This window comes from Homo sapiens, chromosome X (genome assembly GCF_000001405.40).
Source record: "Homo sapiens chromosome X, GRCh38.p14 Primary Assembly".
In the NCBI taxonomy this organism is placed as follows: Eukaryota; Metazoa; Chordata; class Mammalia; order Primates; family Hominidae; genus Homo; species Homo sapiens.
The window spans coordinates 151,563,453-151,586,551 of NC_000023.11; the positions used below are offsets into that span (position 1 = coordinate 151,563,453).

The 23,099-nt window shown below is 41.0% G+C and overlaps 1 protein-coding gene across 2 annotated transcripts in view; it reads left to right on the forward strand.

Moving 5' to 3' along the window:
* Nucleotides 223–23,099, forward strand: part of PASD1 (PAS domain containing repressor 1) — a 113,065-nt gene continuing 90,188 nt past the window's right edge. For both annotated transcript variants that reach the window (NM_173493.3, XM_011531102.3), the window contains exon 1: nucleotides 223–387. The gene's annotated coding sequence lies outside the window, so the exon portion shown is untranslated. The remainder of the gene's footprint in view (nucleotides 388–23,099) is intronic.

The window sequence follows — 23,099 nt, forward strand, 5'->3', positions numbered from 1 at the left end:
GAGGGTGGAGAGCCTGTATTGGGGTGGAACCCTTTGACTCGACAAGCTAAGGGCTACGTTGAAGTGGCTTATCTGCACTCCTAGTTCCAGAGACAGTAGTTATCTCGGGCCCCAACATCGCGAGGTCTAGGGAAAAATGCTACCACTCCTCCCCCCTACTTCCGCTGCCACGCTGCCTCCATGCCTGCCTCCCCTCTCTGCCACGCCCCCACCACGCGCTTTGCACTCTGGGGCCCACGCACTTCCCTGAAGAGTCTAGAAGCTGCTCCTCATTTCCAGACTTTCCGGGCGCCCACCAGGCTCCCGGGCTCTCACCGGAGACCACAGGGAGGAGCTTCAAGGTACCCCAAGTCCCTGCGGCCTCCAGCAGTGAAGAGTTCCACAAGGGTGAGTGAAGTCCGTTAATGAAAGCTACTGCAAAGTAAAATGCCTTGGGGTGGCGGCGGGGAGCCAGCCCCTTTGTCCCTCGGTGGCTGAGGAGCCCAAGCTACTCCATCAGAGACATTCCCTGCAGGACCCTCGTTTTCCTGGTCATCCTGGGAAGGTTGGTTGGGATGAGGCAGAAGGAGAGGGGTGGCAGCGGGTAGCTGGGGGTTACACGAGGAAGACCCCCACATTCTGAACCTCCTCCTGCATTGGGCACCATCGTAGGTGCACCATAGGAGGCACCCATTGATTTTTCTTTGGACATTTCGAGAAATTGAAGCAGAGTTGGGAAGAATGGAAAGCTTGCGGTGTCGCGAATAGGCCGGTCTGAGCGGGCGGTTCGGGTGAGAACGCCAGGCTCTGTCCGGCAGGTCTGGGGCGCGTCTCCATTACCACAGTCGGGGACGGTGTGCTGGGGTGGGCGCGTATATCGAGAGGTTTGCCTGGTTTTCAGCAGATTGAGCAGTTTGTACACGTGAAATCTCAGACTTCAGAATTTTCAGGGCAGTAGCGGCTTTTCAAAGGATCTGCTTGAAGTTTTTGTTGTCCTTTGGGTTTGTTTTTTGCTTTTTTGGATTTCAAATGATGAGGAGTTTATGTCAGGATGTGTATTTGGGCACACTTACACGGAGAGCACAGAAGTTGTGGCTACCTTAGAAAATGTGTTTTTTCAAAATGGAGTCAGATTAGCGTGAAAGTGCCAGCAGCCATGTATCTGAAGACCGATAATGGAGGCGAACGTCGGTGCGGTGGCAGGCATCTTAGTCTCAGCTACTGGTTACGGCTGAGTTTGAGACCAGCTAGGGCGGACTTAGCGAGACCTGTTCTCTACAAAAATTAAAAAAAAAAAAAAAATTAGCTGGGCGTGTGGTGCCCAACTAGTCAGGAGGCTGAGGTGGGAGGGATCGCTTGAGCCTGGGAGTTCGAGGTTGCAGTGAGTCATGAATGAACCACGGCACCCCAGCCTGAACAACAGAGCAAGACCCTGTATTTTCAATCAAAACTTCCTTCAAAAATTACAACTCATAAGACAATAATTTATCAGTTACTCATCCATCTTAAGGGAACATAACTTTCCAATGTATAAAATCAAGAATGTAAATTAATCTACCCTGGATTATGTAATATGCATGCCATACACCACACAATATGCCAGGAAAGGCAGGTGGCAAAGTCATGCTCCAAAAGAGATCCAGGAACAGAATCAGGCATCCTGGTTTTTTTGAGGTATCCCTACTGACTGGCTGTGCTTTTCTCTAACCTTAGTTCTTTCAGTAAGTTAAGCTGTATCTAAAGTAGATTTGTTGTGCTTATTTCTCTGCCAGTTCTAGAACAGAGAGTACTGAGGGGTAAAGACACTCAGGCAGCAAAAGAAAATCCTTTCCACCAAACTAAAGAGAATGGGCAGAAAGCATTGGACTCATGACTTTGAAAGTATTCAGGCCAATGTAGCCAGTAGATGCCCTCCAATCTGTCAGTACTTACTTAGAGAGACATCTGTCTTTGAGATTAGCCTAGCACTTCCTTAGGAGAGTTGGCAGTGATGGAGGGAGGATGTGGGGGCGGGAACTGGACCTTTCTTCCATCAGCAAAGAACAGGCGTGAGGGCTGTTCCTCCTTTTCTTTTCCCAGCAAGTCAGGAGCCAGTGGGAAGTGGCTTTCTTTTTTCTTTTTCCTTACTTTTTTTTTTTTTTTTTTTGAGACGGAGTCTCGCTCTCAACCAGGCTGGAGTGCAGTGGCGTGATCTCGGCTCACTGCAAGCTCCACCTGCCAGGTTCACGCCATTCTCCTGCCTCAGCCTGCCAAGTAGCTGGGACTATAGGCGCCCGCTACCATGCCCGGCTAATTTTTTTGTATTTTTAGTAGAGACGGGGTTTCACCATGTTAGCCAGGATGGTCTCGATCTCCTGACCTGGTGATCCGCCCGCCTTCGCCTCCCAAAGTGCTGGGATTGCAGGCATGAGCCACCGCGCCCAGCCAGAAGTGGCTTTCTAATGGCTGGCCTTTATGGGCAGATTTCTTTGCAAAGTAATTCACAGATACCCAGTTTCTTGGGTAATAAGAATTAGACTAGAAATCCTCCTACTCTTAACTGAAAGTTGATAGGGTTGATAAGGTAATTAGGATTATGGGGAGAGCATTTGGTTGTTGGTAGTAAAACGAAAATTTGTGATAAAAGTGTAGTTTAACTCTCCTGGTTTTGGTTTCAACATTTCATTCAACACATATTCAGAAGTTCTGTTAGAGGCACGTTTTGAGCTAAGATACAGGGCAAAGCAACTGAGAATAAAGATGCAGCTTTTAGGGAGTCCATAGGCTAGTGGAGCAGAGAAACGTGCAAACAAATTATTATATCCCATTATTTGCTTTGAGCTATAATATGTGAATAAGAAACCCAGACACTGGACTTCAAAGAGAAGGGAGTGATCAATTTACCCTGGGTTAGGGCCTCAGCCCATCTTCCCCAAAGAGGAGGATTTAGATTGGGTTTTAAGTTATGAGATTAATAACTCTGGAAGGAGAAGGCAGAGGGAGACACACATACTAACAAAATGATGGAGGAGCAAAAATGCCTAGCATTTTCCGAAGCAGGAGGTGACCAGGTGAGGGTGGCTATCCTTGTGACCTTTGAAAGAGGAGGGATCAGTTTGAGGAGTTGCCTTTCATTTCTTGGACATTAGGGAGCCACGGCAGGATTTTAAGAAAGTGATTCCCTGTACAGGTTGATACCCTTTATCCAAAATGCTTGGGACCAAAAGTGTATCAGATTTCAGATTTTGGAATACATGTAATTTGCATTATGCTTACTGGGCGAGCATCCCTAATTTGAAAATCTGAAGTCCAAAAATGTTTCAGTGAGCATTTCCTTTGAGTGTCATATTTACACTTAAAAAGTTTCAGATTTTGTCCGGACGCGGTGGCTCATGCCTGTAATCCCAGCACTTTGGGAGGCTGAGGCAGGTGGATCACCTGAGGTCGGGAGTTTGAGACCAGCCTGACCAACATGGAAAAACCCCGTCTCTACTAAGCCCGGTGCGTGCCTGTAATCCCAGCTACTCGGGATGCTGAGGCAGAAGAATTGCTTGACCTGGGAGGTGGAGGTTGTGGTGAGCCGAAATTGCACCACTGCATTCCAGCCTGGGCAACAAGAGTGAAACTCCGTCTCAAAATAAATAAATAAATAAATAAATAAATAAATAAATAAATAAATAAATAAAATAAAATAAAGTTTCAGATTTTGGAGCATTTCAGATTTTGGATTTTCGATTTTCGAGTCAGGGATGCTCCGCCATACGTACCACACCTGATTTAGAGGTGGACTCATCAGGATTTGCTGGACTGGATTGTTTGGAGGCAGAGTGAAGGAGAGGGAGCTGTTAGCAGTGATCCTACAAGTTTTTGTTTTATGCAACTGATTCCACTTACTGAGATGAGGAGCACCGGGACCAGGAGAAATTTGGGTAAGTTTAGTTTTGGACCTGAGCATAAGGTGCTGGTGAAGCATCTAGGAAGCCACTGGATATGCTTCTAGAGCCAGAGCTCAAAGGAGTAGTCACAGCTGGAAATAAAGATGCAGTGTCATCAAGGTTTCTTTTTGGCAGAGGCTTCTGGGGACTACTAGCACCTCTTTATGGCTCTGGTGTCAGGGAAATGAGTCAATGCCTACCCTGCTCTAGCCATAAAAAGCTGCTGTCTCTAGTCATGCTGATGTGACTTAGACTCTGTCTGAATGTTGATAGGCAAAGGTCTGTGTGACAAAGGCTTCCACTAGATTTTCAAGGAGGTACTCCCCGAAAGTCAGTCTCTTAAAAGACGAGATCTAAGCAATTGTCTTTTTGTTCTGTTTTGTTTTGTTTGTTTGAGACAGGGTCTTTCTCTGTCACCCAGTCTGTAGTACAGTGGCATGATCTTGGCTCACTGCAACCTCTGCCTGCCGGGCTCAAGCGATCCTCTCACCTCAGCCTCCTGAGTAGCTGGGACCACAGGCATATGTCACTATGCCCGGCTAATTTTTGTTTTTTTTGTAGAGATTGTAGGGTTTTGCTATGTTGTCCAGGCTGGTCTTGAGCTCCTGAGCTCAAGTGATCTGCCCACCTCGGCCTCCCAAAGTTCTGGGATTACAGGTGTGAGCCACCACGCCCGAACAATTGTCATATTTTTTAATGGAAAATACAAACTACCTTTGACGTCCCAGTTTACACTGAAACTTTACATTTGCCCCTTGTCCTTTATCAAGGGCTTAAGATGTCGGCAAGGCTTTCTCCAAACACTATATAAATATTAAATTGACTTCCAAATGTTGTTTATGAGAACTAGAATACCGTTCTTGTTATTTGATATGTATTTATGGAGTGTGTGTGTTCTGACTTGAGTCTAGCTAATGTCCCAGTAGGGTAGGATGTTTTGGACGTTGATGAGTTTTTCTTCTGATTCTATTTCTAACAGTTAAGCACATTGTTTAGGTAACTGGTTGTTCCTTGATTATAGAGTGTTCATGGCCACTAATAAATGTCCCCCATATTTAAATATACAAGTTATACCTTTGGGATGGCAGGGAGCTAAGGGCCATCAGCTCTTTTATATGCTAATACCTGAGATCAAGGCACACGATATTATTCAATCAAGCTAATATTTAGCTTTGGAAATTAAAGCATAAATTCATGAATGTGAATAGTGTTCTTCTTTCTGCATTGATATTTAACCATAATGTATGTATGCACACAATGTTCCAAGATTTCTCTTTGTTTTTATTTTTTTGATGATGTATGTTTCACTTGCTGCAATATTTGTTGATTTCATGAATACTACTGATATTTAGGGAAAGGATCCAAGAAGTGTTGAACTCCTAGTGTGTCTTTCTTTAAGCTTGTCTCCTTGTTAAGGTGAACCTTAACATTCAAGGTTATGGTGATCCTTATCATTTGAGACATTTCACCGAATATATGGGTGAGCAATGCACCTTAGACTTTTCGGTGAACTTCTCCATCCGTGTGGTATCTGATCCTCCTGAGAGTGGCCATATGCGGTAGGGAGGCCAGGGCTTAGCACCATTTTGCAGGTACTCAGACAGGCTAGGTGACTTGCCCAAGATCACACAGCTAGTGCAGAGCTGGGACTAGATCCCAAGAATTCTGACCTCAAGAGGGGTGTTGATTTCCATTGATTTTGCAATTCCCCCTACTTAAGTCACTGGATTAATAATTTTAAAGTGTGGATTAAGGCAAGTATATTTTGTTGGCTTGCTCTCCTCTAACTTTAGGTCTCCCAGTTGGGAGAATGAACTTGTAGGTTAATAGTTTCCTAGTAGAAAGCAATAAATATATTCCTTAGTATAGACAATAAATTGTGGCAGTTTCACTCTCCTCCTTGGGCTGCGTCAAGATCACTTTGAAACATTCCTGGGTATTCTTCATACAGGACTTAGGGCTGTTTACTCTTTTCCGTCTCCCATATCAGCCTCCTTTGCCAATCATCTTCAGAAATACAGGTGTAAGCTGTGCTGTAAGGCATGAACCACACAGCACTTTGAAATGAGAAAGCTTTAAAGTAACAGGCAGGAATTTGAGGGGGAAATTGAAAAGTCTTTCTGCACAAAATGATTGTACTTTAAGGTGAAATTCACAAAGTCAATCAACATGAAGAATCTGGAAACTCTCATTGAGAGTTCTTTCATTTTTTTATACATTCCATAAGAAACAAGGTAGAGCTTTCATGTAAAGTTCTAACTTGTGATTAGAGAAGGCATTTGAAGTGTATAGAACAGAGAGTATATTGTAGCTGGCAGCCAGGGCATTTGCAGAGCTTCACGTTAATGGGCAAGTGTCTTAACCATCAGCATTGCGAAAAGGAATGGCACAGGAGTGAGGGCTGAGGGTGGGGTGGGGAGAGGGGCTCTGGCATCAGGTAGCCAAGAGTCAGCAAAAATTAGAGATAATTTTAAGTGAGGAGGTCCATAGCCTTTCTTTCAGGAAGTGGAAGGTTTCCTTGGCCCCTTTTTCTAATTTGAGAACAATGTGGCTCATACATTGTCAACCTTTTCACTCGGTGGTATATATTTTTTGACCTTTTATGTGATATTGATACTTAAATTATATATCCATCTTAAATTAATTTTGTTGCATATAGATTTTTATGTGTGGACATAGCCCTTTTTAAAAAATTATTCAACAGCTTCTAGGAGACAACTTCTCTGCTTTTTGGGACAAGGCAGCCCTGCAGTAGGCAGAACAGTAGGGTAGGATTCAGGAGAACTGGGGGTTAGGCTGGGGATTACTTGAAGATAAGGGATTTAAAGGAAGTTAGGATTCTGTTCCTCTTCTCAAAGTTGAAATAAAGTAAAATAAATTAGGAGAAACCTAATTAGAAACCTAATTGCTAAAGGGTTTGTTTCCCTACTCAGACTTGCCCTGATTTAAAAACTGTATTTACAGAATGTTCACAGCCATGTAAAATAGACTGGAAAGAAATACTCTAATGTGGCAATGTTTCCCTCAGAGTGGTAGAATTATGCTTGTGTTGTCTCTCCTTTCTATTTTGTAAATTTGGCACTCTTTAAAAAAGAAACCTAAAATAAATTTCCTTTTAAAAAATGAAATTCTAAAAAGAAACAAGAAGCCTGGCTCGTTCCCAGCATTCTAAAGGGGAATGATTGTAGAGCTCCACAAAACTGGCCAAGGAGCTACATAGTGATGAAAGGGTTTTGATCTCTTTGGGAAGTATTGTAGGGAACAGCTTTGCTGGCACTCTCACAGCCCCTTTCCTGTGTGGAGATTGGGCTGTGGGACCTTTGTCTTGAGTGGTAAATGCCCAGCATGCCGCCAGAAGCCCTAGCTGTGGTCACTCCCTCATGGAGCACCTTTTCGGTCTGAGGCTGATAATTGTCCTGCTTCTTATGTGGTAAGCTGTCAGGACTGTGGGCTGCCAGCTGCCTTAGCTTTACTAAAAGGAGGTGGTTGATTCATTCTTTTACTGTGGATTGTCAGCTGAATAAAGCGGCCCACCACAGCCTTAGGGACAAAAGCTCTCCATTAGGATTACACTGCCAGGTTGGAGAATGGCCCTTTAAATGCTGTACAGCCTCAAACAGGGGCTGTATTAAGCTGACCACCTTTATGCAAATCTCTCTCCTTTGTCCAAAGGCCCCCTCATGACAGAGGCCAGCTAAGCCTTTATGGACAGATAGGCTTTGTGCAAGGCTGGGGGATCACCCAGGTTAGGTGTTTCCAGGAAGAAAAGTGGATTGAGGCGATTTTGTAAATGTCACTGCTAATAAATTGAACATTGGCAAACTTGCACTTAAGACATTACTTGGGAAGAACAGATTATTAAAATGGAACAAATTGAGGTGCCATAGAGTTCTGGAGTGCTGAAATTGTTGTCCTTTGGCATTATGCAAAACAACATTATGTCTTTATCTGTCTTTTCCAGTTCCTTTCTAGTTTCCTCCCTGATCCTGAGCTGCTTTGTTTTTGTCCAAAGTGGAGAGGCTGCTCCCATCTGTGCTCATCTCCTCCTTAGTTGCTTTGGCTCTTTTCTCTCTCCTTGGTGCTGTGTTTTCCCTCCACCCATCTAATAGAATATTTCCAAGGTCTTATCTTCTTTTCCTCATGTCACTCCCTTGGGGCGCTCAAGTGACTTGTCTAATTTCAAATATTCTCTGTGAACATGTCTTATAGAGTCATGGATTCCCCAAGCTGAAAGAGACTTCCAAGTCATCTGTCCGACTCATGTCTATGTGGTCAAATTGACAATTCTTGTCAAATAGAGGTTGGAGTTTCTTCCATGTTTCATTGATGCCTAAGCATGCAAGAGAACCTAAAGTTGATGACTTTTCTTTCAGTACTTTTCCATGATTCAGTTTTTCTTTAAGAAAAAACACTCTCCCCTTTTGACCTTCAGCTACTTTAGCCTCCACTGCCCCAGGCCCATAACAGTAGCAACACATCTAATTCTTAATCTTTGTTCCTTCTCATATTAGTCTGCCTCCTTCATAGCATGTCTGGGAGTCATCCTCTCTTGCAACCTTTTTCTCTTCTTTCTGCAGCAGCTAACCTCGAACCCCTTCTCAGCCTGTCTGCTTGAGCTCCCCTTGCATCACCTCTTTTAAAATTAGTTTGATCTTGTGAGTCAATTCTCAGAAAATTTGAGTAGTGCCCAGCTACCTCACACAGTAAATAAAAATGTTAACATCTTCAGTTAGAGAATCCAGCCTGACCTGACGACTTTGATTTTCTCATTTGATTTTTCTTAACACCTTTTAACATTCCAGCTGCTCAATTTTTAGAGAATTATTTTGACAGTTGTAAGTTATAAGAGCTATAGCTCTTCTTTGAAATAATAATATTTTAATTTTTCTTTAGGTCCTTTTGATTTACAAAAACCCCCCACAACAACAACAATAATAACAATAGCAATGAAAACACCAGACACAGTGCCTTGCCCATAGTATGTTTGGGGGCATGAATGATGAATAAATAAATAAAAGTATTTGAAATCACTGTAGATAACTTGAGTTGCCCAGAAGCCAGAAATGTAGAACCCGCTGTCCTGGAAACTGTATTCTTTCTTCCTTGGTAAATTCCTACGGCATCAAGTAGAGGAAACCTTAATAAATACGGACTGGGAGTGGCCTAAAATATTCCACTATAATCTGTAATACTTTCAGATTCTTTACGGTTTAAATTTTTCTGTTCATTTATATATGAAAATCTTTCTGTTTAAAAAGTTCTTTAATGAAGTGTTCCAGTATCATTTTCTCTAGATTGTTTTACTGATTGGCTGTCAATATTTTAAATTGAAAAAGGACTGGAGACAGAGAAAAACTTACCTATCAAATTCTTAATTAAATGATTCATGAAGATGTCTTTTAAATGGTTCATTTGAAATATACCTTTATACGAACAGGAATGGCTATCTCCATATTAAGTCATCTGTATAAGTTCGTTCTTGCATTGCTACAAAGAAATGCCTGAGACTGGGTAATTTATAAAGAAAAGAGATTTAATTAACTAACAGTTCTTTAGGTTTTACAGGAAGCATGGTATTGGCTTCTGGATGGAGCTTTTACTCATGGTGGAAAGTGAAGCGGGAGCTTACACATCATGTGGCTAGAGCAAAAGGGGGTGCAGGAAGATGGGGTGGTGACGGGGGGTGGGGGAAGGGCATGCTGGGGGTAGAGGTTGGGGGTGGGGGGTAAGGCAGGGGAAGTTTTGGGGTGGGGGTGGGGGCTGGGGGTGGGATTGGGGGAAGGTGCCACATACTTTTAAATGACCAAATCTCCCAAGAACTCACTCACTATGGAGAAGACAGCACCAAGCCATGAAGGATCCACCCCCATGATCCAGTCACCTCCTACCAGGCCCCACCCCCAACCTCGGGGATTACAATTCAACATGAGATTTGGACAAGGACAGATATTCAAACTATATCATCATCTGTCCTGCATGTTTTCCTACATTTTTTCTATGTCTTAGGTCGTTCTGTTCCTGCATCTCATGATCTCTGGAGAAGTAACAAGTTCTTGATTTTTCACAATTTTCAACTAGCTGAATGTTATTCTTCATAGTTTTACAGGCTATGTTTAGATAGCCTTGTGTTGCTGAGAGAAACTTACCCTATTCGCTGCAGTGATCGGGGAGAGACTGACAATACAGGACTTTGATACAGTACCAAGTAAGGCAGGTGCCATAAGGGTAAAGGCAATGTGCTGTGGAGATGGAGGACAGAGGATCAGAAAAGGCTTATTGGAGAAGATGCTTTGGGGGAAGTGCTTTGAAAGATTTATATTACTTCATTAAGTAAAGATATAGGGAAGGACATTTTAGGCAAGGAGATGATCATGAGCAAAGGCTGGGCAGTATGAATGAAGAGTGAGTGTCTGGATAATAGTGGGTAGTTCCTGGAATTCAGGAATGTTGTGATTGGAAAGGTGAATTGGGTTGTATTGTAGAGAGCCTTGGGTGACAGGCTGAGACAGTTTTATTGTGGTGATGCTTAAAATCTCCAGACAAGAACACATGTGATTGTAATAGGAGAGCACATTCAATAAATATTTGTGGAGAAATCATATATTGAACTTCTTGTATTTCCCCTTTACTAACATGTTGTCTGTAATGAGGCAAGGTAGAAATGAATTTAATAAACCAAACCAAACTCAAACCTGTCTAACTAAGTGGGTTCCAAAGTCCACATGACTACTTTTGCTTGCTTCACAATGGCTTCAAGTGACAAACCTTGTGAGGGGATCTTCCTTGAGGTCACAATTGTGCCAAACAGGTAGTCCCAAGTGCCAGTCACTAGTGAAGTTAAGCACTGGGCATAACTGCCAACTGTGGGCACCTAGCCAGGTTCTTGCCAGATGCTCCTTGGCTGATGTGAATGAAAGTCATCTGTTGAGGAGTGGCTCCAGTTCATGTCACTGGATGATTCTTGAGCTTCTGCCCTGTGCTGGGTGCTGCAGACAGGGAGAAATCAGACCACATTCTGGCCTTGTGCTCATACTCCACTGGGGGAGACAGACAAGGGGTCGAATAGTGATCATACCTCTTAGAAAGTGACAAGTGCCCTGAGACAGTAGCAGACAATGAATTCTAGAGGGTTCAGGGAGAAGGAAGCTGAGGAAAACATTTGTGAGAGTGCATTCTACCTGAATCTGGAAAAACTTGAAAAAAATGATGTACTTTGGGATTCAAGTCCATACATCCAGGTTACACTTAACCTTTACACCCAGTAGATGCTGTGGGGATAGATATATTTTGCCAAACATCAGAAACAGATTGCTCTTTTGGGACTACACTATTTGGCTTTGGCATTGGTATGCTCCAGAGGCAAAAATGGTGTGTCCCTCAGAAAAGGCAAGAATACTATTTGCCTAAAGTGAAGCAAGTCCATAGAATCTGTTAAAAGAAGTTTTTGAACATCAACACTTACATTTTCTTCTTTTTTTATTAAAAAATAGAGACGAGGTCTCGTTGTGTTGCCTAGGCTGGTCTTGAACTCCTGGGCTCAAGGAATCCTCCTGTCTCAGGCTTCCCAAAGTGTTGGGATTACAGGTGTGAGCCACTGCTCCCAGCCATCACGCACTTTTGTATCTATAAACCAAGGTAAAGATTACAAGTAAGAGTTTTTACATTGCAGAAAAAGGAGAATTTCCTTAGAGGCAGATGTAAACACCATCTCTAGGGCTTGTATCAAAGACCACTGGACAAAATAGCATGAGAAAGCTCAGTCCCTTTGGTCAAGTAAACCATCATGGTGATTGCAGGGGGCTGGAATTGGGAGGAGACTAAAGACATTTGACTTCGTGCAAAAGCTAAAAGCAGTTTAAGACCATTTTTTTTTTGGCGGGGGTGGGGGGAGGTGATGAACATTCCCAGTTTCTCCAATCAATAGCATTTCTGTGAGAATTGTAACACTATGAAAAGTCATTTCTAATCTGGAAAGTCTTGGTGGTTGAAAAGTTTCTCTTACCTTTATTTTCAGTTATGTGATTATTGAATTCCCTGGTGTTGTTAGATGGGCTATTTTTTATTTAAAAACATCTCTTTTTTCTAAGATGATCTGGATAGACTATCCAGTGCCCATACATAACACTCATCAGTTTTTCAATCTCTCATTCTCAGGTAAGAAAACGATTTTTGTCTTTCAGACTTTACTTTTGTACTTACCTTTTTATATTTTACTATGTACTTGTAATGGAAGTAAGATTCCTCTGTAATTTGAAACGGATCATCAAGTTGTAAGTGGGGAAAATCTAAGTAATGAGCTGGAATTTTTTTTTTCTTTTTTGAGACGAGGTCTCTCTCTCTCTCTGTCACCCAGGCTGGAGTGCAGTGGCATAATCATGGCTCACTACAGCCTCGACTTCCAGGGCTCAAGCAATTATTCCACCTCAGCCTCCTCAGTAGCCAGTGAATAGCTGGGACTACAGACATGTAGTGCCATGCCCAGCTAATTTATTTTTTATTTTTAAAATTATTTTTATTTTTATTTATTTATTCTTTTGAGACAGAGTCTCACCCTGTCACCCAAGCTGGAGTGCAGTGGCACAGTCTTGGCTCACTGCAACCTCCACCTCCCAGGTTCAAGTGATTCTCCTGCCTCAGCCTCCCAAGTAGCTGGGATTACAGGCACCTGCCACCATACCTAATTTTTTTTTTTTTGTATTTTTAGAAGGGATAGGGTTTCACCATGTTGGCCAGGCTGGTTTCGAACTCCTGACCTCAAGTGATCTGCCCCCCTCGGCTTCTCAAAGTGCTAGGATTACAGATGTGAGCCATGGCGCTCAGTCCTAATTTTTAAATTTTTTTGTAGAGACAGTGTCTCCCTGTATTCTCCAGGCTGGTCTTGAACTCCTGGGCTCAAGCGATCCTCCTGCCTCACCCTCCAAAAGTGTTGGGATTGTAGGCGTGAGCCACCATGCCTAGCAATAAGCTGCATTTTAAAATAATAACACCTGAGTTAGTAATTCATACAATGCTCAGTCAGGCTTAAAGCATAGGCCAAGATGTAACATCATTCAAATAGTCAAAATCAACTCTTATCCTAGTGAATTGATTACATGTGAAATTGTGTAGCATCAATAATAAAATTATCTGTTTATGGATGTTCTTGATTTTCACCAATGACAACTACAGATTTAAAGTGCAAATCATATTTTATCTTGAGATTCTACTTGATCACTTTAAATGTAGCACTCTTCTAATTTCCCTCAGAGAATTATAAAATCAAGTGAAGGAAAGAAGATGTCTTAGTTTTGATAAATTGGTGATTGTAGATCAATAAGAAGTGTGTGTGTGTATGTGTGTGTGTGTGCACACGTGTGTATGTGTACTCAGTTGTAGAACAGTTGCAAACAGAAATGAACTTTAATGTTAATTTTCGCCAACTACTGTAATTTTATGTTTATATAGATATTATATGATTGTATTCTATCAAAACATAGCATATATTTATTGCCATAAATGTAATTTGTTTTTTTACATGATTTGCCATAAATGTAATTTGATACTTCTGTAATTAAAAAGTAAATAGATATAGAAAATAGATTTATAAATCTTAAGATATAACAATTAGAGCTCATTCTCACCCAACTCTTTCAAATGGGGCATTTTTCCAGCTATGCGGCTCGTCAATTCTGTAAATATATTTTTTGAAATTACATGAGACAGCCCAGTGCAGTGGTTGTGCACCTGTAGTCTTAGTTATACGGGAGGCTTAGGTGGGAGGATTGCTTGAACCGAGGAATTATTAATAGAAGCCAGCCTGGGCAATATAGTGAGACCTCGTCTTGAAAGAGAGAGAGAGAGAGTGAGAGAATGAGATTTACATTTCTGTTATGCTAAGTTGCTCATTTAATAAAAAATTCTCAATAGAAACACAAATTATCCTTGCACAGCCTTGAAATTCCATTTTGGGACCATTTCCTTAGTATAGGAATTCTACTGTGGTGGTATATACAGTGAACAGATTTTACCTTGTTTCTGTCTTCAAAGTTATTTCAATGGCAGGGATTAATAGCATATTAATTTATGGCTCATACTGTTTGCCTGAAGGAGACTTATCTTACACAGATAATTCTGACAGAGACATATACCATAATGCACAGTCATTGCAATTGTTTTGTAAAAGAAAGGTTAGGTGAGAGTCTTTATTTATTTATTTATGAGATGAAGTCTTGCTCTGTTGCCCAGGCTGGAGTGCAGTGGTGCGATCTCGACTCACCAAAACCTCCACCTCCCGGGTTCAAGTGATTCTCCTGCCTCAGCCTCCCGAGTAGCTGGGACTACAGGCATCCGCCACCACGCCCAGCAAATTTTTTTTGTATTTTTAGTAGAGACGGGGTTTCACCGTGTTAGCCAGGATGGTCTCGATCTCCTGACCTCGTGATCTGCCCGCCTCAGCCTCCCAAAGTGCTGTGATTATAGGCGTGAGCCACTGCGCCCGGCCCTGAGAGTCCTTTATTCTTCAAGTTGTTTCCCAGGTATTTGGGCAGGCTATGCTGGGGACCTTTATGGGAGCACTTTGAACTGCAACCAGTAAACCAGTTAAAAAGGATCTCTGCTATTACCACATTCATCTTTCCCTGGACCATTCATAAACCTTGGAGGGGATCCTAAGACTAGTATTTTTGTCACAGAGACCATTCAATATTTGTTAGGCTTTCAAAGTTTCCATTTTGTCATGTATAAGCCAAAATGCATGCATAGGTGTTTGAGGATAGAAAGTAAAACAAGACAAAGACACACTGAAGTCATTTTGGAGATTCTCTGTGCTCCTAGATCTATTAAAAGTGCTGAGATGTCTTGTGTCAAGAAATCTGCTTCAGTGTATTTAACCAGCATTTTTCAAATGTTCTCCGCTAAGGAACACTTAATACCTATTTTTATTTTTGCTTAATCCTGTTAACATCTTTTGGTATTCGTGTTCTGCAGGACCAGTGACCTTTAGGAAAGTTGTTGTTACCTGTATGATACCATTTTATATATATGATCAATGGTATTTGGCTCAGCTATATTGAATTCCCCAGGAATAATATTGACCAGCTATTTCTGGGCAAGAAGACCATCAGCTAATTGCAGTGTCAAACTTCTTATGACAACTGGTCATGAATGCTTTTGTGCCAAATTCTCTGATGTGTTGACTAAGGCTCTGGCAGGTTTGAAGGCATCAAAAACTCCTGAGGTATCTCCAGTAGATTCAAAAACTGGCCTTGCAGGCTTAAGAACTTTCTCTGCTGCAGAGACAACAGAAACAAGCCTAACTCCCCAAATCCAGAATGAATCTGTTGACTCAGTCCCCTCTGATCTTAGATGCTGTTGCTTGGGGATGACATTTGCCAGAGATTTCTCCCCTCTCCCTCTCCTCTGAGTGGCTTTGAGATGGTGGGTTTTGATAACTGAGTTCACCTCGTTGGAGAGAAAGTGTGGACACCAGCATCACAACTGTGGTGAACAAAAAGTCTCCTCCCCTTCCAAGGAAGCTGGGAAGGTGGATTGCTTCACTGAAGAGTTAAAGAAAAGAGTTTTAGAATATATTATTTGATTTTTTTTCTTTTTTCAGGATCATCTGTTGGGCACTTAAGTCACAGACCAAATCCCATTCCATGTTCCTGAGAACCCGTCCTTTAAAATACTGCAGAAAAATGGGTTTGCCTGTAGTTTGACAAATTAACTTTTCTTTAAGGAAACAGTAAAATGTGATTTTCCCATTCAGCAAAACTTAGAAATTCTTTGCATCAAATTTCAGTGAGTTTTATTTTTAGTGTATATGATTGGAATTCTGTTTAATACATAATTTTGAAAAGTCAGCATCTGTTTATATTGTGTATAAGATAGATCCAGTGTGGACAATGTCATATAAAATGTTAATCTTACAAACCGGTAAAGGCTTCAAGTTTAACTTAAGCCTGTTACTAACTTTGCAAAATTTTTTAATAAGGTGAGTGACTAGAAAAACCCTAGTTTCTATAGATTTTAATAAACTCAAGTGAGGAAATATATATAAAATGAAGTTTTACCCTTACATGAGTAATAATAGAAGTTTTAAACTGTTATGCAGATCTGTAGAATCCAAGTCAAAGGATAAGTTGTTATTCAGCTTTTGTAAGGAGCAAAGGAATAACTGTAGGAAGCTTAAAAGCTGTAGACATTTTAGGGAAAGAGGCATAGTGAAATGGACATGAGAGTAATGTAATCTTGACTCAATTTTAACTTTTTAAGCAATCATTTGCAAACCCCAATGCTTTAACTAATATTAAAACATGATTATTTCATTCATTTATTTATTCATTGAATAAAAATTATTGGGAGAAAGTGAAGATGGGAGGTGTGGAGGAGATGTGCAGGAAAGAAAGAGCCTCTATTCTGGGTTGTTGGAGGCTGTCATTTAGTACTTCACATTATTTTTCTTGTTAGACAAGATTACACATGTTGGATTGCCTCAGTGGATTGAAATGGAAATTCTATTGAAATATAATGGGTGAAAATAGTTTTTCTTCTATAATGGTTTGCTCTCTTTATCTCAGTAGCAGTGCAGTCTGTTTTCTCTGTGAGTCTAAGAATGACAGCCTGAGCTTTTCATTAGCCAGGGAACCCTGAGCTTCACTCTAGCAGAGTTCAGGGCATTTAAGAAAAAGTATGATTACTTTAACCCAGGTACTTCCCTGCTGTCCATAACACCAGATGCTGACCCTCTGTGCTTCTGTTTCTGTATTCCATCTGTGCTCTTCATTTTTATTTCTCCCTCTTAGCTTCCAGAACACTTTACGTATAACTTTTTAATGGAATTTATAAATTTTGACCTTGTATTCTAGTTATCTATTTACAAGTCTGATCTCCAAAGAGCAGAACAAATTGGCTTCATCTCTTTATTCTCCAGAGTCAGCCACAGAGTCCACACTTAGAAAATGTCTATAAAATGAATTAATGTTAAATGAATAAGTGGAATTTTTACAGAGGACTCTTCCGGAAAGATGTGTTACATGATGTGTGTTATCTTTAGTTCCACAAACGAGTCTCTACTTTTTATATAAAAGCTATCTGGTAAAGAGAACCAGGATATTAGAATATGGGATTTTCTCCTGTTGACCTTTTCCTTCGAACATGCTCCCTTTACATCATTTCTTTTTTTCTTTTTTTTTTTTTTTTTTGGTGGAAGTAGTCTATATATTATTTTGGATAGTGATTACACTTGTCAGAATTCATGAGACTGAAAATATGTGTATTGTATATTGTTATATCTCAATTAAAATATTTTAGAAAATAATACAATATAAACATGCAATACAATAAATACAATAATATAATACAATACAGTAAACATAATGATATATGTCTCTCTTGATATGGAAAGATGTTCATGGTATAATGTTAAGTAAATTAACTTGGTTAAAAACTCTGGCTACCATAACCCTTTGTGCATATATATCAAGGTAGTGAGTTTTTAAATTTTATTCTTTAATGTCTTTCACATTTTTCAACTTATTTTGAATGAGTATTTTACCAATAAAGTATTGTTTACTATACAGTAAAAAATTTAAAGTACATCCCCTGCTTATTAAAACTGCAGAAATTATTGAACCATATGAGAAGTTTATTTTTATTTCTATTAAATTACGAGGCTGCCAGATCACTTGAGGTCAGGAGTTCAAGACTAGCCTGGCCAACATGGCGAAACCCCATCTCCACAAAAAATACAAAAATTAGCTGGGTGTGGTGGCACATGCCTGTAATCCCAGCTACTCGGGAGGCTGAGGCACAAGAACTGCTTGAACCTGGGAGGCGGAGGTGGCAGCGAGCCAAGACTGCACCACTGCACTCCAGCCTAGGCAACAGAGTAAAGCTCTGTATCAAAAAAAAAAAAAAAAAAAAAAAAAAGTAACAGAACTGTAGCTTAAAAATAGTCATGAAAATTTATTTAAAAATGTCTTGGGGCCAAGTGCAGTGGCTCACACCTATAATCCCTGTGCTTTGGGAGACCAATGCAGGAGGATCCCCTCAGGCCAGGGGTTTGAGGACCAGCCTGGGAAATATAGTAAAACCTATCTCTACAAAATTATAAAAATTAGCTAGGCATGGTGGCATGCACCTGTAGGTCCTAGCTACTCAGGAGTCTGAGGTAGAGTATCACTTGAGCCCGGAGTTTGAGGTTGCAGTGAGCTATGATAGCACCACTGCACTCCAGCCTGAGTGACAAAGGCCCTGTCTCTAAAATTAATTAATTAATTTAATTTAATAGAAATACATCTTTTCTTATAGATGAACTATCAGTTACATGTTTTGAGTTTCTCATTCTTCATTTTTGGTAAATTCTCTGGTTGATTTCTTTTGGAGAGGAACCCATATTAGAACTTGGGGACAAAATGATGAAAAAGGAGAGAGGAAAAGAGCAGGATACAGGAATAGTGTCCACTAATGAACCCTAGAAAGAGAGGCCATGAACAGCCAGCTCTGTCAACTCAATTTTGCATAGCTCTCAGTTCAATGAGTAGCTGAAATAGATAGGATAGAGTTACAGTGTGTGAAGAGTAGACAGGAAAATTTCTCTAGGAGGTGTTCAGGGGCAATATTCCCAATAATATGTCCTTGAATCTTTTTTTTTTCTTTTTCCTTTTTTTTTTTTTTTTTTGAGAAGGAGTCTCGCTCTGTTGCCCAGGCTGGAGTGCAGTGGCACGATCTCAGCTCACTGCAACCTCCGCCTCCCGGGTTCACGTGATTCACCTGCCTCAGCCTCCCGAATAGCTGGGATTACAGGTGTGTGTCACCACGCCCGGCTAATTTTTTGTATTTTTAGTAGAGACGGGGTTTCACCGTGTTAGCCGGGGTGGTCTCTCTCCTGACCTCGTGATCCACCACCTTGGCCTTCCAAAGTGCTGGGATTACAGGCTTGAGCCACCGCACCTGGCCCCCGCTTTTTTTTGAGACAAAGTCTCACTCTGTCACCTAGGCTGGAGTACAGTGAGTGGCACAATCATGGCTCCCTGCAGCCTTGACCTCCCAGGCTCAAGTGATCCTCCTGCCTCAGCCTCCTGAGTAGCTGGGACTACAGACCTGTACCACCATGCCTGGCCTGTCTTTGGATCTTGAGTGTATCTAAGAGTATCAGCCTTGGTTCAGTGTCATGGTCCACTCAGATATGACAGCAACAAACACCCAAAGGGGCTTTAGGAGAGCTCTAGGTGGGAGAGAGATGTAGCAGGGGCCTAGAACTCAAATACTGGAGGGGGAAGTGATGAGGCAAGGATGGAATGCACTTCAAGATTCTTACCTCCTCCGAAGCCTAAAATGCTGCTGCACTTCAGCTTTGATACTGTCTAGAGGTTTGAAGTGCACTGGACTGTCACTCCTTGCTATAGACCAGGAATTCTCAAATATTCAAATCCCGTGTCTTAGCAATCACTGTCAAGGGACTGAGCTCTTAACATGATGGAAACCAAACTCTCTCTCCTATTTTTTTTTCAACGAACAACACTGATGTGTTTACAGACACTTTGTCAGCATAGTTATGATTTTTTGTGAGTTTCAAGAGCAAGATCAATTGCTGAAAAGTTATTGGACATAAATGTAATTGCTACAGAACATCAAAGTAATTTGTTGATAGGCAAGGGAACCAGAATTGGGAGAAATGTGGGATGTTCGTGCTTAGTCCTAGTGAGCTGAAGGTCACAGATGGAAATTGGGGGTGGGTGTAAGCAGGGTGGTTGGGAAACAACACGTGACACTTGCAGATGGGCAAGAGTGTTGAAAAAGGGCCAATGCTAAGTAATGAAAAGGCAGTACACTACAGCAAGTGAGTGCTCAGGCACTGCCATGGACTCCCAGGATGGCCTTGGGAAAGTTAGCAAAAATATTTGGAACCCATTTTCCTCATGTGTAAAATGGGGAACATAATGCCTGGGATGTGTAGTAAGTGTTTAATAAATATCACTTAATGTTATTACTATCTTTAATTATTCTAAAATCTTATACTTTTCTACTGCTATAAATCTAAATTCACTAACTATGGTTGCATATGAGCCCCATTCCAAGGGAGGTTTATTGCTTAAATATAAAAGTAACATAAGGAGGATGGTTTCATCTCCAAGGAACTCTTATAACAAGGGACCTGAAGACAGATTCCCTGTCAAGTCCCAGCGTAGTTTTTTTTGTGTGTGTGCTTTGGAAGAAGAATGATAGTAACATACTCTTCATAATTAATTAAAAAACTGGCAATATTTTTCAGTTCTACCTGTCTTTTAGATTTCACAGACTGTTTTAATCTTGATGAAATCCTTTCTAATTGTGGAGTTATAATGATTGACTTCAATGCCTCTCCTTATTGACTGTGAACTTTGTGAGGACAGAGACTGTGGCATCTTCATCTCTGGATTCTCACACTTGATATTGCTAAGGCTGGCTCGGAGTATGCACTTTGTGAATGTATTGGGAATAAATGCAGTACTTCAGCTTTTTGACTTAAGGTGCTTTCATGTGTCCCAGTCCTAGAAGAATTCAGGCTAAGTCTAAGGGAAATCAAAAGAAGATCTAAAAGAGATAAAAATTTACTGATAGTTCTATCAGTTCTCAGCTAGATTTTTATAAGATGTCAATTTGGAGAAGAGTATGAATTTAATGGATTAATAGAACAACAAGGTTGGTATATAGGCACATTCCTAGTGAGCAGAAGGTCACAAATGGATGGAAATTGTGACATAGCTAGAAATGTAAGGACCATTAACAATAACTTTGGAATTCCCCTCTGAATCCCACAGTAGACCACTCTCATTGGGAAGTGAAGGCTAGCCTTTGAAATACAGATTGAAGAAATCAATCAGGGAAAGATAGCACCAGACAATACATCCAGAAGAAAAGCAGAAGCTTTTCTTTTCTTCATATCAGGGGTTTATTGCTTCCTATACAGATTGATTTCTGTGTTTAATATTAGGACATGCTTTGGGAATAATGAAAAACATTAAGTTCTACAGGCTGATTGAATTCCACTTAAAATCTTACAATTCGTGTTTGTCACCTGGATATCTATAGGTCTTATTCACTAGGTTTTATTGTCCAGCTACTGTAACTAGCCGTGATAATGTGTACATTTGAGTAGCAGACTTCAGATTAATTTTCCTTTTTCAGGAAGTAAAGTCCTGCAAGGATGTCTTGTTATTTTACTGGAAATCAAAGGGATGATGAACTTTCCTTTGCCTGTTGGGGGTGGAGGTAGCCCTGGACAGTTATAGATAGTGTGAGACAGCACTTTAACCACTAGATGCAAGAAACTTGGAATTGATTTGTCTTGTAAATGCTTCCACAGGCCATTACCCATTCTCTAACCCTTTGAAACATCCTTAGACATGATGGGGTTGGTAAACTTCACACAGAATTCACTACGGAAATTAAATATGCTGGATTTCTCTGGAATTATTTATTCTGTAAAATCCTAGGACTCCTAGGGACCACATCTCTTTGATTTTGGTATTCTAAATTCTCATTTCCTCTATTTTGTCATCTCATTGTATAGGACCATATTCTGTCACTGCACTTTGCAAAGAGAAGGGTGAGCTGTTAAGGAAACATAGTTTGTACCAAGTTTTCTATATCATCTTTTGTACTTACATACATTTAATTTGATTGAACAAATACCCAATGCTTTGTGTCTGTGGTGCACAGTTCTAGATGTTTTAGGATATAGAAAATGGAATAAGCCTTCCCTGTCCTGAGGAAGCTTACATTCTAGTGGAAGAATAAGAAAAATGCACATAAAGGGCAAGGTTTAGTAGGGGTAATCCAGGAAGACTTCTTGGAAACAGTGGCATAGGTATATAAGGAAATCCAGTGTACTTTTTAATTCTTATACCAGACTCTCTGGATTCAAATCTTTGATCTACTACTTACTAGCTGGTTGATCTTGGGCTACCTTTCTGTGACTCAGTTTTTTCATCTATAAAGTGAAGATAACATCAGATCATACCTCAAAAAGATCTGAGAATCAAATAAATTACTTGCTGCAGAGGGCTTCAAGCAGGGCCTTTCCAGTAGTCTGGGATAATGGGGGACCCAGGGGAAGGCTTTAAGTGGAAGGACAGATCAAGTCAGTGTATAAGATCATATTGGCCGCTGGTTGAGGATGGACTAGAGGGGGCAAAAATGGAGACCATGGAGGAAGAGGTGGTTGCAGGAATTGAGGTGAAAGGGCCTGAGCTTGAGGCCTGGCATTGAGGATTGGTAGGAGCAGGCAAGTGTGAGTGATAGTACAGAGATGGGATCCAAGGACAGACAGGCTATGGTTGCTGGTCAGTTGGGCCCAAACCAGGGCAGAGAAGGAAGAGATGTTATGAAAATTGACTTGGCAACCATCATTTGCAAGAATAGATTGATGATATTCATGCTTGAGTATTTTGTCGTATAACTGGGATTTTCTCTGCTAATATCCAGGTAAATATGAATACCTGGCTTTCTACTCCTTTCAGAGGATTGTTATACAATAAATGTAGAAATTTAATTCTACCGAATTTTTGTTGTTTCAACCAAGGAAGGAGAATGTTGCATTCTGTTGATAAATAAGGGAGGGAAATTAACAAACATTTAATTACCTGCCTGATACTGATCAGCAGAATTCTTACATGGCTTAGGGATTCTGGAGGAAAGGGTTGTGGGAAGGGCACTCAGTTTGACCATGGAAGAGGAAGCAGATTGCTTTGGGGCTTCATGTACAACCCAGGAAAATGCTAGGGGACAGGATGTAGAAGACTGCATCTGAGAGGGTAGCTAGAGAGCTTTCCTGGGCAAGAGTGAATGTGAAGGCTGTTACAAAAGCTTAGGTGGTGTTGTCCAGAGAATGTAGTGGTTATAAACTGAATTCTAAAGTTTCCCACTTATTCATATACTCACTTTCACATCAGTTGGGCCTCCAAAATAGTTTAGAGAGCTTTTAGAGTAATCACTTCAGAGTTTAGTAAGAGAGAAAGAAAGTGGGTAGCGTAGCAAGAGAGAGAAAGATCACCTTCCTTGAGAGTTGAAAAGCACTACAGAGGAGATGGTGAAGCAAATGTTTACAGACTGATTTTCCAGTGCTGTCAGGTACTAGCTATGTAACTTCAGACAAGCTACTTAAACTCTGAGTCTCAGTACCCTCATGTGGGAAATGGGAGTAACAGCACCTATCGAACAGGGCTGTTGTAAGGATTAAATGGT